Genomic DNA, 13627 nt, shown 5'->3' with positions numbered 1-13627 from the left:
CAGGCTGGTCTCGAACTCCTGACTTCATGATCCGCTCGCCTTGGCCTCCCAAAGTGCTGCAATTACAGGCATGACAGGCATGAGCCACCAAGCCCAGCTGAGCTTTTTTTGTTGTTTTTTTTTTTTTGCTTTTTTAGACAGAGTCTTATTCTGTCACTCAGGTTAGAGTGCAGTGGTGCAATCTTGGCTCACTGCAACCTGTGACTCCCAGGTTCAAGTTATTATCCTGCCTCAGCCTCCTGAGTAGCTGGAGTTACAGATACCTGCCACCACATTCAGTTAATTTTTGTAGTTTTAGTACAGAAGGGATTTCGCCATGTTAGCCAAGCTGTTCTCAAACTCTTGACTCCTGCAATTGGAGTCTTCAAAGTGGAGGACAGAAAAAATATTTTTAAAAAATTATAATGAAAAAATTCCAAATTTGATGAAAACTCTAAGCCTACAGGTCCAATAAACAAAATTAATATCAAGTCAAAAACATAAAGAAAACTACTCCAAGGCACATCATAAACCAATTTTTTTTTATTAGTATACTTTAAGTTCTAGGGTACATGTGCACATTGTGCAGGTTTCTTACATATGTATACATGTGCCATGTTGGTGTGGTGCACCCATTAACTCGTCATTTACATTAGGTATGTCTCCTAATGCTATCCCTTCTCCCTTCCCCCACCCCAAAACAGGCCCCGGTGTGTGATGTTCCCCTTCCTCTGTCCAAGTGTTCTCATTGTTCAATTCCCACCTATGAGTGAGAACATGCGGTGTTTGGTTTTCTGTCAGTGCAATAGTTTGCTCAGAATGATGGTTTCCAGCTTCATCCATGTCCCTACAAAGGACATGAACTCATCCTTTTCTATGGCTGCATAGTATTCCACAGTGTATATGTGACACATTTTCTTTTTCTTTTTTTTATTTTTTATTATTTTTTATTATTATACGTTAAGTTTTAGGGTACATGTGCACAATGTGCAGGTTAGTTACATATGTATACATGTGCCATGCTGGTGCGCTGCACCCACTAACTCGTCATCTAGCATTAGGTATATCTCCCAATGCTATCCCTCCCCCCTCCCCCGACCCCACAACAGGCCCCAGAGTGTGATGTTCCCCTTCCTGTGTCCATGTGTTCTCATTGTTCAATTCCCACCTATGAGTGAGAATATGCAGTGTTTGATTTTTTGTCCTTGCAATAGTTTACTGAGAATGATGATTTCCAATTTCATCCATGTCCCTACAAAGGACATGAACTCATCATTTTTTATGGCTGTATAGTATTCCATGGTGTATATGTGCCACATTTTCTTAATCCAGTCTATCATTGTTGGACATTTGGGTTGGTTCCAAGTCTTTGCTATTGTGAATAATGCCGCAATAAACATATGTGTACATGTGTCTTTATAGCAGCATGATTTATAGTCCTTTGGGTATATACCCATTAATGGGATGGCTGGGTCAAATGGTATTTCTAGTTCTAGATCCCTGAGGAATTGCCACACTGACTTCCACAATGGTTGAACTAGTTTACAGTCCCACCAACAGTGTAAAAGTGTTGCTATTTCTCCACATCCTCTCCAGCACCTGTTGTTTCCTGACTTTTTAATGATTGCCATTCTAACTGGTGTGAGATGGTATCTCATTGTGGTTTTGATTTGCATTTCTCTGATGGCCAGTGATGATGAGCATTTTTTCATGTGTTTTTTGGCTGCATAAATGTCTTCTTTTGAGAAGTGTCTGTTCATGTCCTTCGCCCACTTTTTGATGGGGTTGTTTTTTTCTTGTAAATTTGTTTGAGTTCATTGTAGATTCTGGATATTAGCCCTTTGTCAGATGAGTAGGTTGCAAAAATTTTCTCCCATTTTGTAGGTTGCCTGTTCACTCTGATGGTAGTTTCTTTTGCTGTGCAGAACTCTTTAGTTTAATTAGATCCCATTTGTCAATTTTGTCTTTTGTTGCCATTGCTTTTGGTGTTTTAGACATGAAGTCCTTGTCCATGCCTATGTCCTGAATGGCAAAGCCTAGGTTTTCTTCTAGGGTTTTTATGGTTTTAGGTCTAACATTTAAGTCTTTAATCCATCTTGAATTAATTTTTGTATAAGGTGTAATGAAGGGATCCAGTTTCAGCTTTCTACCTATGGCTAGCCAGGTTTCCCAGCACCATTTATTAAATAGGGAATCCTTTCCCCATTGCTTGTTTTTCTCAGGTTTGTCAAAGATCAGATAGTTGTAGATATGCGGCGTTATTTCTGAGGGCTCTGTTCTGTTCTATTGATGTATATCTTTGTTTTGGTACCAGTACCATGCTGTTTTGGTTACTGTAGCCTTGTAGTATAGTTTGAAGTCAGGTAGTGTGATGCCGCCAGCTTTGTTCTTTTGGCTTAGGATTGACTTGGCGATGCGGGCTCTTTTTTGGTTCCATATGAACTTTAAAGTAGTTTTTTCCAATTCTGTGAAGAAAGTCATTGGTAGCTTGATGGGGATGGCATCGAACGTGTAAATTACCTTGGGCAGTATGGCCATTTTCACAATATTGATTCTTCCTATCCATGAGCATGGAATGTTCTTCCATTTGTTTGTATCCTTTTTTATTTCCTTGAGCACTGGTTTGTAGTTCTCCTTGACAAGGTCCTTCACATCCCTTGTAAGTTGGATTCCTAGGTATTTTATTCTCTTTGAAGCAATTGTGAATGGGAGTTCACTCACGATTTGGCTCTCTGTTTGTCTGTTGTTGGTGTATAAGAATGCTTGTGATTTTTGTACATTGATTTTGTATCCTGAGACTTTGCTGAAGTTGCTTATCAGCTTAAGGAGATTTTGGGCTGAGACAATGGGGTTTTCTAGATATACAATCATGTCATCTGCAAACAGGGACAATTTGACTTCCTCTTTTCCTAATTGAATACCCTTTATTTCCTTCTCCTGCCTAATTGCCCTGGCCAGAACTTCCAACACTATGTTGAATAGGAGTGGTGAGAGAGGGCATCCCTGTCTTGTGCCAGTTTTCAAAGGGAATGCTTCCAGTTTTTGCCCATTCAGTATGATATTGGCTGTGGGTTTGTCATAGATAGCTCTTATTATTTTGAGATACGTCCCATCAATACCTAATTTATTGAGAGTTTTTAGCATGAAGGGTTGTTGAATTTTGTCAAAGGCCTTTTCTGCATCTATTGAGATAATCATGTGGTTTTTGTCTTTGGTTCTGTTTATATGCTGGATTACATTTATTGATTTGCGTATATTGAACCAGCCTTGCATCCCAGGGATGAAGCCCACTTGATCATGGTGGATAAGCTTTTTGATGTGCTGCTGGATTTGGTTTGCCAGTATTTTATTGAGGATTTTTGCATCAATGTTCATCAAGGATATTGGTCTAAAAGTCTCTTTTTTGGTTGTGTCTCTGCCCGGCTTTGGTATCAGGATGATGCTGGCCTCATAAAATGAGTTAGGGAGGATTCCCTCTTTTTCTATTAATTGGAATAGTTTCAGAAGGAAGCATACCAGTTCCTCCTTGTACCTCTGGTAGAATTCGGCTGTGAATCCATCTGGTCCTGGACTCTTTTTGGTTGGTAAGCTATTGATTATTGCCACAATTTCAGAGCCTGTTATTGGTCTATTCAGAGATTCAACTTCTTCCTGGTTTAGTCTTGGGAGGGTGTATGTGTCCAGGAATTTATCCATTTCTTCTAGATTTTCTAGTTTATTTGCGTAGAGGTGTTTGTAGTATTCTCTGATGGTAGTTTGTATTTCTGTGGGATCGGTGGTGATATCCCCTTTATCATTTTTTATTGTGTCTATTTGATTCTTCTCTATTTTCTTCTTTATTAGTCTTGCTAGTGGTCTATCAATTTTGTTGATCGTTTCAAAAAACCAGCTCCTGGATTCATTAATTTTTTGAAGGGTTTTTTGTGTCTCTATTTCCTTCAGTTCTGCTCTGATTTTAGTTATTTCTTGCCTTCTGCTAGCTTTTGAATGAGTTTGCTCTTGCTTTTCTAGTTCTTTCAACTGTGATGTTAGGGTGTCAATTTTGGATCTTTCCTGCTTTCTCTTGTGGGCATTTAGTGCTATAAGTTTCCCTCTACACACTGCTTTGAATGCATCCCAGAGATTCTGGTATGTTGTGTCTTTGTTCTTATTGGTTTCAAAGAACATCTTTATTTCTGCCTTCATTTCGTTATGCACCCAGTAGTCATTCAGGAGCAGGTTGGTTCAGTTTCCATGTAATTGAGTGGTTTTGAGTGAGTTTCTTAATCCTGAGTTCTAGTTTGATTGCACTGTGGTCTGAGAGACAGTTTGTTATAATTTCTGTTCTCTTATATTTGCTGAGGAGAGCTTCACTTCCAAGTATGTGGTCAATTTTGGAATAGGTGTGGTGTGGTGCTGAAAAAAATGTATATTCTGTTGATTTGGGGTGGAGAGTTCTGTAGATGTCTATTAGGTCCACTTGGTGCAGAGCTGAGTTCAATTCCTGGGTATCCTTGTTGACTTTCTGTCTCGTTGATCTGTCTAATGTTGACAGTGGGGTGTTAAAGTCTCCCATTATTAATGTGTGGGAGTCTAAGTCTCTTTGTAGGTCACTCAGGACTTGCTTTATGAATCTGGATGCTCCTGTATTGGGTGCATATATATTTCGGATAGTTAGCTCTTCTTGTTGAATTGATCTCTTTACCATTATGTAATGGCCTTCTTTGTCTCTTTTGATCTTTGTTGGTTTAAAGTCTGTTTTATCAGAGACTAGGATTGCAACCCCTGCCTTTTTTTGTTTTCCATTTGCTTGGTGGATCTTCCTCCATCCTTTTATTTTGAGCCTATGTGTGTCACTGCACCTGAGATGGGTTTCCTGAATACAGCACACTGATGGGTCTTGACTCTTTATCCAATTTGCCAGTCTGTATCTTTTAATTGGAGCATTTAGTCCATTTACATTTAAAGTTAATATTGTTATGTGTGAATTTGATCCTGGCATTATGATGTTAGCTGGTTATTTTGCTCGTTAGTTGATACAGTTTCTTCCTAGTCTCAATGGTCTGTACATTTTGGCATGATTTTGCAGTGGCTGGTACCGGTTGTTCCTTTCCATGTTTAGCGCTTCCTTCAGGAGCTCTTTTAGGGCAGGCCTGGTGGTGACAAAATCTCTCAGCATTTGCTTGTCTGTAAAGTATTTTATTTCTCCTTCACTTATGAAGCTTAGTTTGGCAGGATATGAAATTCTGGGCTGAAAATTCTTTTCTTTAAGAATGTTGAATATTGGCCCCCACTCTTTCTGGCTTGTAGAGTTTCTGCTGAGAGATCCGCTGTTAGCCTAATGGGCTTCCCTTTGAGGGTAACCTGACCTTTCTCTCTGGCTGCTCTTAACATTTTTTCCTTCATTTCAACTTTGGTGAATCTGACAATTATGTGTCTTGGAGTTGCTCTTCTTGAGGAGTATCTTTGTGGTGTTCTCTGTATTTCCTGAATCTGAATGTTGGCCTGCCTTGCTAGATTGGGGAAGTTCTCCTGGATAATATCCTGCACAGTGTTTTCCAACTTGGTTCCATTCTCCCCATCACTTTCAGGTACACCAATCAGATGTAGATTTGGTCTTTTCACATAGTCCCATATTTCTTGGAGGCTTTGCTCATTTCTTTTTATTCTTTTTTCTCTAAACTTCCCTTCTTGCTTCCTTTCATTCATTTCATCTTCCATCCCTGATACCCTTTCTTCCAGTTGATCTCATCGGCTCCTGAGGCTTCTGCATTCTTCACGTAGTTCTCGAGCCTTGGTTTTCAGCTCCATCAGCTCCTTTAAGCACTTCTCTGTATGGGTTATTCTAGTTATACATTCTTCTAAATTTTTTTCAAAGTTTTCAACTTCTTTGCCTTTGGTTTGAATGTCCTCCCGTAGCTCGGAGTAATTTGATCATCTGAAGCCTTCTTCTCTCAACTCGTCAAAGTCATTCTCCGTCCAGCTTTGTTCCGTTGCTGGTGAGGAACTGCATTCCTTTGGAGGAGGAGAGGCACTCTGCTTTTTAGAGTTTCCAGTTTTTCTGCTCTGTTTTTTCCCCATCTTTGTGTTTTTATCTACTTTTGGTCTTTGATGATGGTGATGTACAGATGGCTTTTTGGTGTGGATGTCCTTTCTGTTTGTTAGTTTTCCTTCTAACAGACAGGACCCTCAGCTGCAGGTCTGTTGGAGTACCCGGCCGTGTGAGGTGTCAGTCTGCCCCTGCTGGGAGGTGCCTCCCAGTTAGGCTGCTCAGGGGTCAGGGGTCAGGGACCCACTTAAGGAGGCAGTCTGCCCGTTCTCAGATCTCCAGCTGCGTGCTGGGAGAACCACTGCTCTCTTCAAAGCTCAGATGGAAATGCAGAAATCGGCTGTCTTTTCTGCGTCGCTCACGCTGGGAGCTGTAGACCGGAGCTGTTCCTATTTGGCCATCTTGGCTCCTCCCCACCGTGTCACATTTTCTTAATCCAGTCTATCATTGATGGACATTTGGGTTGGTTCCAAGTCTTTGCTATTGTGAATAGTGCCGCAATAAACATACGTGTGCATGTGTCTTTATAGCAGCATGATTTATAATCCTTTGTGTATATACTCAGTAATGGGATGGCTGGGTCAAATGGTATTTCTAGTTCTAGATTCAAGGATCAGAGTTTTTGAGTATAATTTGGTGGGAAGAGGGGGGTGGGGCAGTGAGTTGGGAGTGCTGATTGGTTGGGTCAGAAATGAAATCATAGGAAATTGAAGCTGTCTTCTTGCACTGAGTCAGTTCGTGGTTGGGGGCCACAAGATCAGATGAGCCAGTTTATTGATGTGGGTGTTTCCAGCTGATCCAGCAAATGCAGGGTCTGCAAATTATCTCAAGCACTGATCTTAGGTTTTACAATAATGATGTTATCACCATGAGCAATTTGGGGAGGGTCAGAATCTTGTAGCCTCCAGCTGCATGACACCTAAACCATAATTTCTAATGTTGTGGCTAATTTGTTAGTCCTACAAAGGCAGTCTAGTCCCTAGGCAAGAAGGAGGTTTGTTTTAAGAAAAAGCTATTATCTACTTTGTTTTAAACTATGAACTATAAACTAAGTTCTTCCCAAAGTTAGTTCAGCCTATGCCCAGGAATGAACATGGGCAACTTGGAGGTTAGGAGGAAGATGGAATTGGTTGGGTCTCTTTCACTGTCTCAGTTATAATTTTGCAATGGTGGTTTCAAAAACATGTATGTATAAAAACAAGCAATTCAAAATCAAAGATATTGGAACTTTAAATTATTCTGAGCTTTAAAGGAATGTGATTTGGGGACCTGGGCCACATAACAGACAGCTGTAACTTGGGCTGTTGTAACCTAGGCAGCTGTAATCTTTGTTCCTCTGATTATAAACTTTTCTCTACCTACATTATTCTGTAAAATGTTGTTAAAGACTAAAGGATACCAGAGAAGCCTGCCTTCCCTCTTCACTGTCTGTATTGGTCTGTTTTCACACTGCTATAAAGAAATATCCAAGACTGGGTAATTTATAATGGAAAGTGGCTTAATTGACTCACTGTTCTGCATAGCCAGGGAGGCCTCAGGAAACTTATAATCATGGCAGAAGGGGAAGCAGGCACCTTCTTCACAGGGTGGCAGAAGAGAGTGTGAGTGTGTGAAGGAGGAACAGTCAAACACTTATAAAACCATCAGATCTAGTGAGAGCTCACTCACTATCATGAGAACAGCATGGGGGAAACCGTCCCCATGATCCAGTCATCTCCCTCCCTTGACACATGGGGATTACAGGTCCCTCCTTTCACACATGGGGATTACAATTCTAGATGAGTTGGGAGGGTGGGGATACAGAGCCCAAATTATATCATTCTACACCTGGCCCCTCCCAAATATCATGTCTTTTCACAGTTCAAAACCAATCGTGCTTTTCCAACACTCCCCCACCGTATTAACTCATTCCAGAATTAACCCAAAAGTCTACATCCAAAGTCTCATCTGTGACAAGGCAAGTCCCTTCTGCCCAGGAGCCTTTAAAATCAAAAGACAGTTAGTTACTTCCAAGATACAATGGTGGTACAGGCATTGGATAAATGCCTCCATTCCAAATGGGAGAAATTGGCCAAAACAAAGGGGCTACAGGCCCCATGCAAGTCCAAAATCTAGCAGGGCAGTCATTAAATCTTTAAGCTCCAAAATAATTTCCTTTGATTCCCTGTCTTACATCCAGGTCATGTTGATGCAAGAGATGGGCTCCCATGGTCTTGGGCAGCTCCACCCCTGTGGCTTTGCAGGGTACAGCCTCCCTCCCAGCTGCTTTCACAGGCTGGTATTGAGTGTCTGTGGCTTTTCCATGGGCATGGTTCAAGCTTTCAGTGGATCTACCATTCTTGGTTCTGGAGGAAGGTGGCCCTCTTCTCACAGCTCCACTAGTCAGTACTCCACTGGGGACTCTGTGAGGGGGCTGCAACCCCACATTTCCCTTCTACACTGCCCTAGCAGAGGCTCTCCATGAGGGCTCCACCTGTGCAGCATAATTCTATCTGGACACCCAGGCATTTTCATACATCCTCCGAAATCTAGGCAGAGGTTCCCAAACCTCAATTCTTGACTTCTGTGCACCTGTAAGCCCCAAAACACTTGGAAGCTACTGAGGTTTGGGGCTTGTGCCATCTGAAGCAACACCCTGAGCTGTACCTTGGCCCCTATTTGCCACAACTGAAGCTGCAGTGGCTGGGATGCAAGGCATCATGTCCCAAGGTGGCACAGAGCAGTGGGAGCCCTGGGCCTAGCCCATGAAACCATTTTTCCTCCTAGGCCTCCAGACCTGTGATGGGAGGGGCTGCCGTAAAGACCCCTGACATGCCCTGGAGATATTTTCTCCATTGTTTTGGTGATTAACATTTGGCTGCTTGTTACTCATGGAAGTGGTGTGGATTCTTAGTGTGTTCTGATAGCCATGTGTCACTCTGCACTTGTTCTTTGTGTCTTCTCATCATATCCTATTGCATTTTAAAGCATTTTCATAGTATGTGGTTTTGCCTAATAAAGCATTCTCATAGTTTAAAAAAGTTTCAATTTCTGCAGCTGACTTGAATTTCTCCCCAGAAAATGAATTTTTCTTTTCTATTGCATCGTGAGGCTGCAAATTTTCCAAACTTTTATGCTCTGTTTCCCTTTTAAGCCTAATTTCCAATTTCAAACCATCTCTTTGAGAATGCATAAAACTGAATGCTTTCAGAATAATCCAGGTGACATCTTGAATGCTTTGCTGCTTAGAAATTTCTTCCACCAGATACCCTAAATCATCTCTCTCAAGTTCAAATTCCCACAGATCTCTAGGGCAGGGGCAAAATGCCACCAGTCTCTTTGCTAAAGCATGGCAAGAGTGACCTTTGCTCTAGTTCCCAAGAAGTTCCTCATTTCCATCTGAGACCACCTCAGCCTGGACTTCATTGTCCACATCATTATCAGCATTTTGGTCAAAACCATTCAATGAGTCTCTAGAAAGTTCCAAACTTTCCCACATCTTCCTGTCTCCTTGTGAGCCCTCCAAACTGTTCCAACCTCTGCCTCTTACCCAATTCCAAAGTCACTTCCACATTTTCAAATATCTTTACAGCAGTACCCTACTCTCTGTGTTACCAATTTATTGTATTAGCCTGTTTTCTCACTGCTTTAAAGAAATACCTGAGACTGGGTAATTTATAAAGGAATGAGATTTAACTGACTCACAGTTCTGCATGGCCAGGGAGGCCTCAGGAAGCTTACCATTATGGCAGAAGGGGAAGTAGACACCTTCTTTACAAGACAGCAGGAGTGAGCATGTGAAGGAGGAACTGTCAAACACTTATGAAACCATCAGATCTCGTGAGAACTCACTCACTATAATGAGAACAGAATGGGGGAAACCACCCCCATGACTCAATCACCTTCCTCCCTTGATGTGTGGGGATTATAATTCAAGATATTTGGGTTGGGACAGAGAGCCAAACCATATCACTGTCCGTCTTCATAATAGACTAACTTTCCTCTTACTTCTCTTACACAAAGACCTCATGACTGTCACATCATCTAAGATGGAATGTCAAATATAACCTTTTAAGTTGGAAAAGGAAAAGAAAACAGCTGTAATTAGTCAAATTGCGGTAACTCATAAACCAACCTTTTATGGAACATGTTATAATCTGTAAAATTTATTTTTTGCCTATATAAGCAAGACCTTAACTTTTCAGCTTCTGAACACTGACCCCATTTCTTTGGAGTCTGTATTACCAGGATGGCTATTCTCAGCTTTGCACTTGAATAAACTCTTTTAAACTGGATTGTGATCCTTTCAATTGCTTAAGGTTGACATATGTAATGGGTTCTTTAAGGGCCCAACAGATTCATTTTGCCTGCTGCTTATATAGAGCCGATTTATCATGACAATGGAATTGCAATAGAAAGTTTAATTCATGCAGAGCCAGCTGAGTGGGAGACCAGAGTGCTACTACTCAAATCAGTCTCACCACAAATTTCAGAGACCAGGCTTTTTCAAGGATAGTTTGGTGGGTAGGGGGCCCGAGAGTGGGGAATGTTGATTGATTGGGTAAAAGATGAAATCATAGGGAGTCAAAGCTAGGTCAGTTCCTGAGTGGGGACCACAAGACTGGTTGGTGGGTCCAGGTGGAGCCATTGGCCATCAGAAATGCAGAAACCTGAAAAGATATTTCAAAAGGCCAATCTTAGGTTCTCCAAGAGTGATGTTATCTGCAGGAGTAATTGAGGCAGTTGCAAATCTAGTGACTTTCAGAATAATGGCTGGTAATCACTTAAGTCTATACCTTAGCAGAATTCAGGTTCCTTTCACCCTCTTAACATGGTGGATGCTCATTAGCTTTACAAACGTGATTTACTTTGGGGGACAGGCCATTATCATTTAAACTATAAACTAAGTGTCTTGCAAAGTTAGCTTGGTCCAGGCCCAGGAATGAATACGGGCTTAAACTATAAACTAAATGTCTCACAAAGTTAGCTTGGCCCAGGCCCAGGAATGAATAAGGGCAGTTTGGAGGTTAAAGGCAAGGTTGGGGGGCTGGGTGTGGTGGCTTTTGCCTGTAATCTCAGCACTTTGGGAGGCTGAGGATGTCAAGTGGATCACCTGACATCAGGAGTTCGAGACCAGCCTGGCCAACATGGTGAAACCCCATCTCTACTAAAAGTACAAAATTAGCTGGGCATGGTGGCACATGCCTGTAATCCCAGCTACTCGTGAGGCTGAGGCAGGATAATTGCTTAGACCCAGGAGGCAGAGGCTACAGTGAACTGAGATCGTGCCATTGCACTCTAGCTGGGCAACAAGAGTGAAACTCCATCTCTAACTAAATAAATAAATGCAAGGTGGGGGTTGATTAGATCAGCTCTCTTTCAATGTCATAATTTTCTCACTGTTACAATTTTTGCAAAGGTGGTTTCAATCAAATCTGTTTGGCTATTGCAGGGGAGGAAAAATAATTTTCTCTCCACCCTTACCGGAACTCCCTGTAACAAAAGACAGATTAACAAGAGAAAAACAAATAGAAGTTTCTTAACATGTAGACATCCTATACACATGGGAGAAAACCAGATAAATCAGTAAATATCCAGAGTAAAGAGCTGGAGCCTTGGACTTAAATACCATTATTTGTCAAAACAAATAAAAAAGGGTGTGGAGAAAGGCCCATTTAAGATGAGGTGCCAGGATAAGCACCTTAAATAAAGGTGAGGTTTGTCCTGAAGATTCATGTGGTGCCTTCTTCACTGATAAGCCTCTGATGATTTATCCTCTTTCTCTTCCTGGTACAGAGAGGGAGACATCCTTCCAAATGAAGATTTCCTCTGCAGGTGTAAATTTCCCTTTCAAAATGGGCCAGGCGCAGTGGCTCACGCCTGTAATCCCAGCACTTTGGGAGGCCGAGGCGGGCGGATCACGAGGTCAAGAGATCGAGACCATCCTGGCTAACATGGTTAAACCCCGTCTCTACTAAAAATACAAAAAATTAGCCGGGTGTGCTGGCACGTGCCTGTAGTCCCAGCTACTCAGGAGGTTGAGGCAGGAGAATTGCTTGAACCCAGGAGGCAGAGGTTGCAGTGAGCCGAGATCGTGCCACTGCACTCCAGCCTGGGTGACAGAGCGAGACTCAGTCTCAAAAAAAAAAAAAAAAAAACAGAAGAAGAAAAAGAAAAACTCATTTCGACCCCCTGTGTATCTCTGACACAACCAATCAGCACTCCCAACTCACTGACCCTCTACTCACCAAATTTTTCTTAAAAACTTTGATCTCCGAATCCTCAGGATGATGAATTTGTGTAATAATAAAACTCTGTTCTTCTGCACAGCTGGCTCTGTGTGAATTACTCTTTCTCTATTGCAATTCCCCTGTCTTGAGAAATTGGCTCTGTCTAGGCAGTGGGCAAGGTGAACCTGCTGGACGGTTACATTGTCATGAGCCCCAGCACCATCTAAGGGGGTAGAGTTACTTTCTGTCTTTGTAATCTCTTAGTAGATTGCCTTGGATATGCATCACATTCTGGTTTAATGCTTACTAAATAAGAAAACTGTTTTCTTTCTCTACTATCATTGTGGAGAAGTTTTCTGGGTCAGGAGAAAAAATTATATGTAATTACTGTTAAAGAAAAAGTTATTTATGACACTCATTAAGAGGTAAGGCAGGCTTTACTCAGGACTATTGTGATAGGTGAGGGGACTACTGCAATAGTGTTTTGCAGTTGGGGAGAGAGACTGGGTTCAACTCCAAAGGCAACAAGGAAAAGTGGGAATTTATAGTCAAGGAGCAGGGTCAGTGCTCAGTGAATGGGAAATTACTAAGAGGGAACATCAAGGGTAAGGGGGCTTTTGGCTAAACCAACCTAACAGGATTATTGCTAAAGACAGGCCAGGATGACCAGACATCAACCAGATGGATTAGATGGTGGAGTATGAGGGACCCAATCATATATTGAAGATATCCAGATAATGTAAGAAATACATGGTTGGGTGTGGTGGTGCATGCCTGTAATCCCAGCACTTTGGGGGGACAAGGCAGTGGGTCACTTGAAGCCAGAAGTTCAAGACCAGCTTTGCCAACATGGCAAAACCCCATCTCTACAAAAAATATAAAAATTAGCTGGCAGGGTGGTGTACACCTGTAATCCCAGCTACTTGGGTGGCTGAGGCATGAGAAGCTTGAACCTGGGAGGCAGAGGTTGCAGTGAGCCAAGATTGCACCACGGCACTCCAGCCTGAGTGACAGAGCAAGACTCTGTCAAAAAAAAAAAAAAAAAAAAAAGACAAAAAGAACAGGAAAGAAAAGAAAAATGAAAAAGAACAGAAGAAAAATACAAAGATGAATAGTTGAAAACTGTTTCTGAGTCCAGACAGATTTCTAGACTTAAGATCAAAGCACCTTTAGATGGTGAGGTGGAAAGGGCAGTCATAATCTGATGAATTTTCTTGTTTGCAGTTTAGATCTCTTTGGCAACAGCATTGGGTGTTTCAGTGAACTTTCTGAGTGGCCCACATGGCAGCAGGCACAAAGGTGATTGTTTTTTTTTTTGACGTCTGTATCAAGTCATCCAGCTTCAGTCTGTGGGGCTTGGGAAAAAGGGAAGTTTGATTTCTCAGGAATTCCAAGTTAGGATGGTGGAAGA

Source organism: Homo sapiens, chromosome 2 (assembly GCF_000001405.40).
Source record: "Homo sapiens chromosome 2, GRCh38.p14 Primary Assembly".
Taxonomy (NCBI): Eukaryota; Metazoa; Chordata; class Mammalia; order Primates; family Hominidae; genus Homo; species Homo sapiens.
This window is presented reverse-complemented; position numbering follows the sequence as displayed.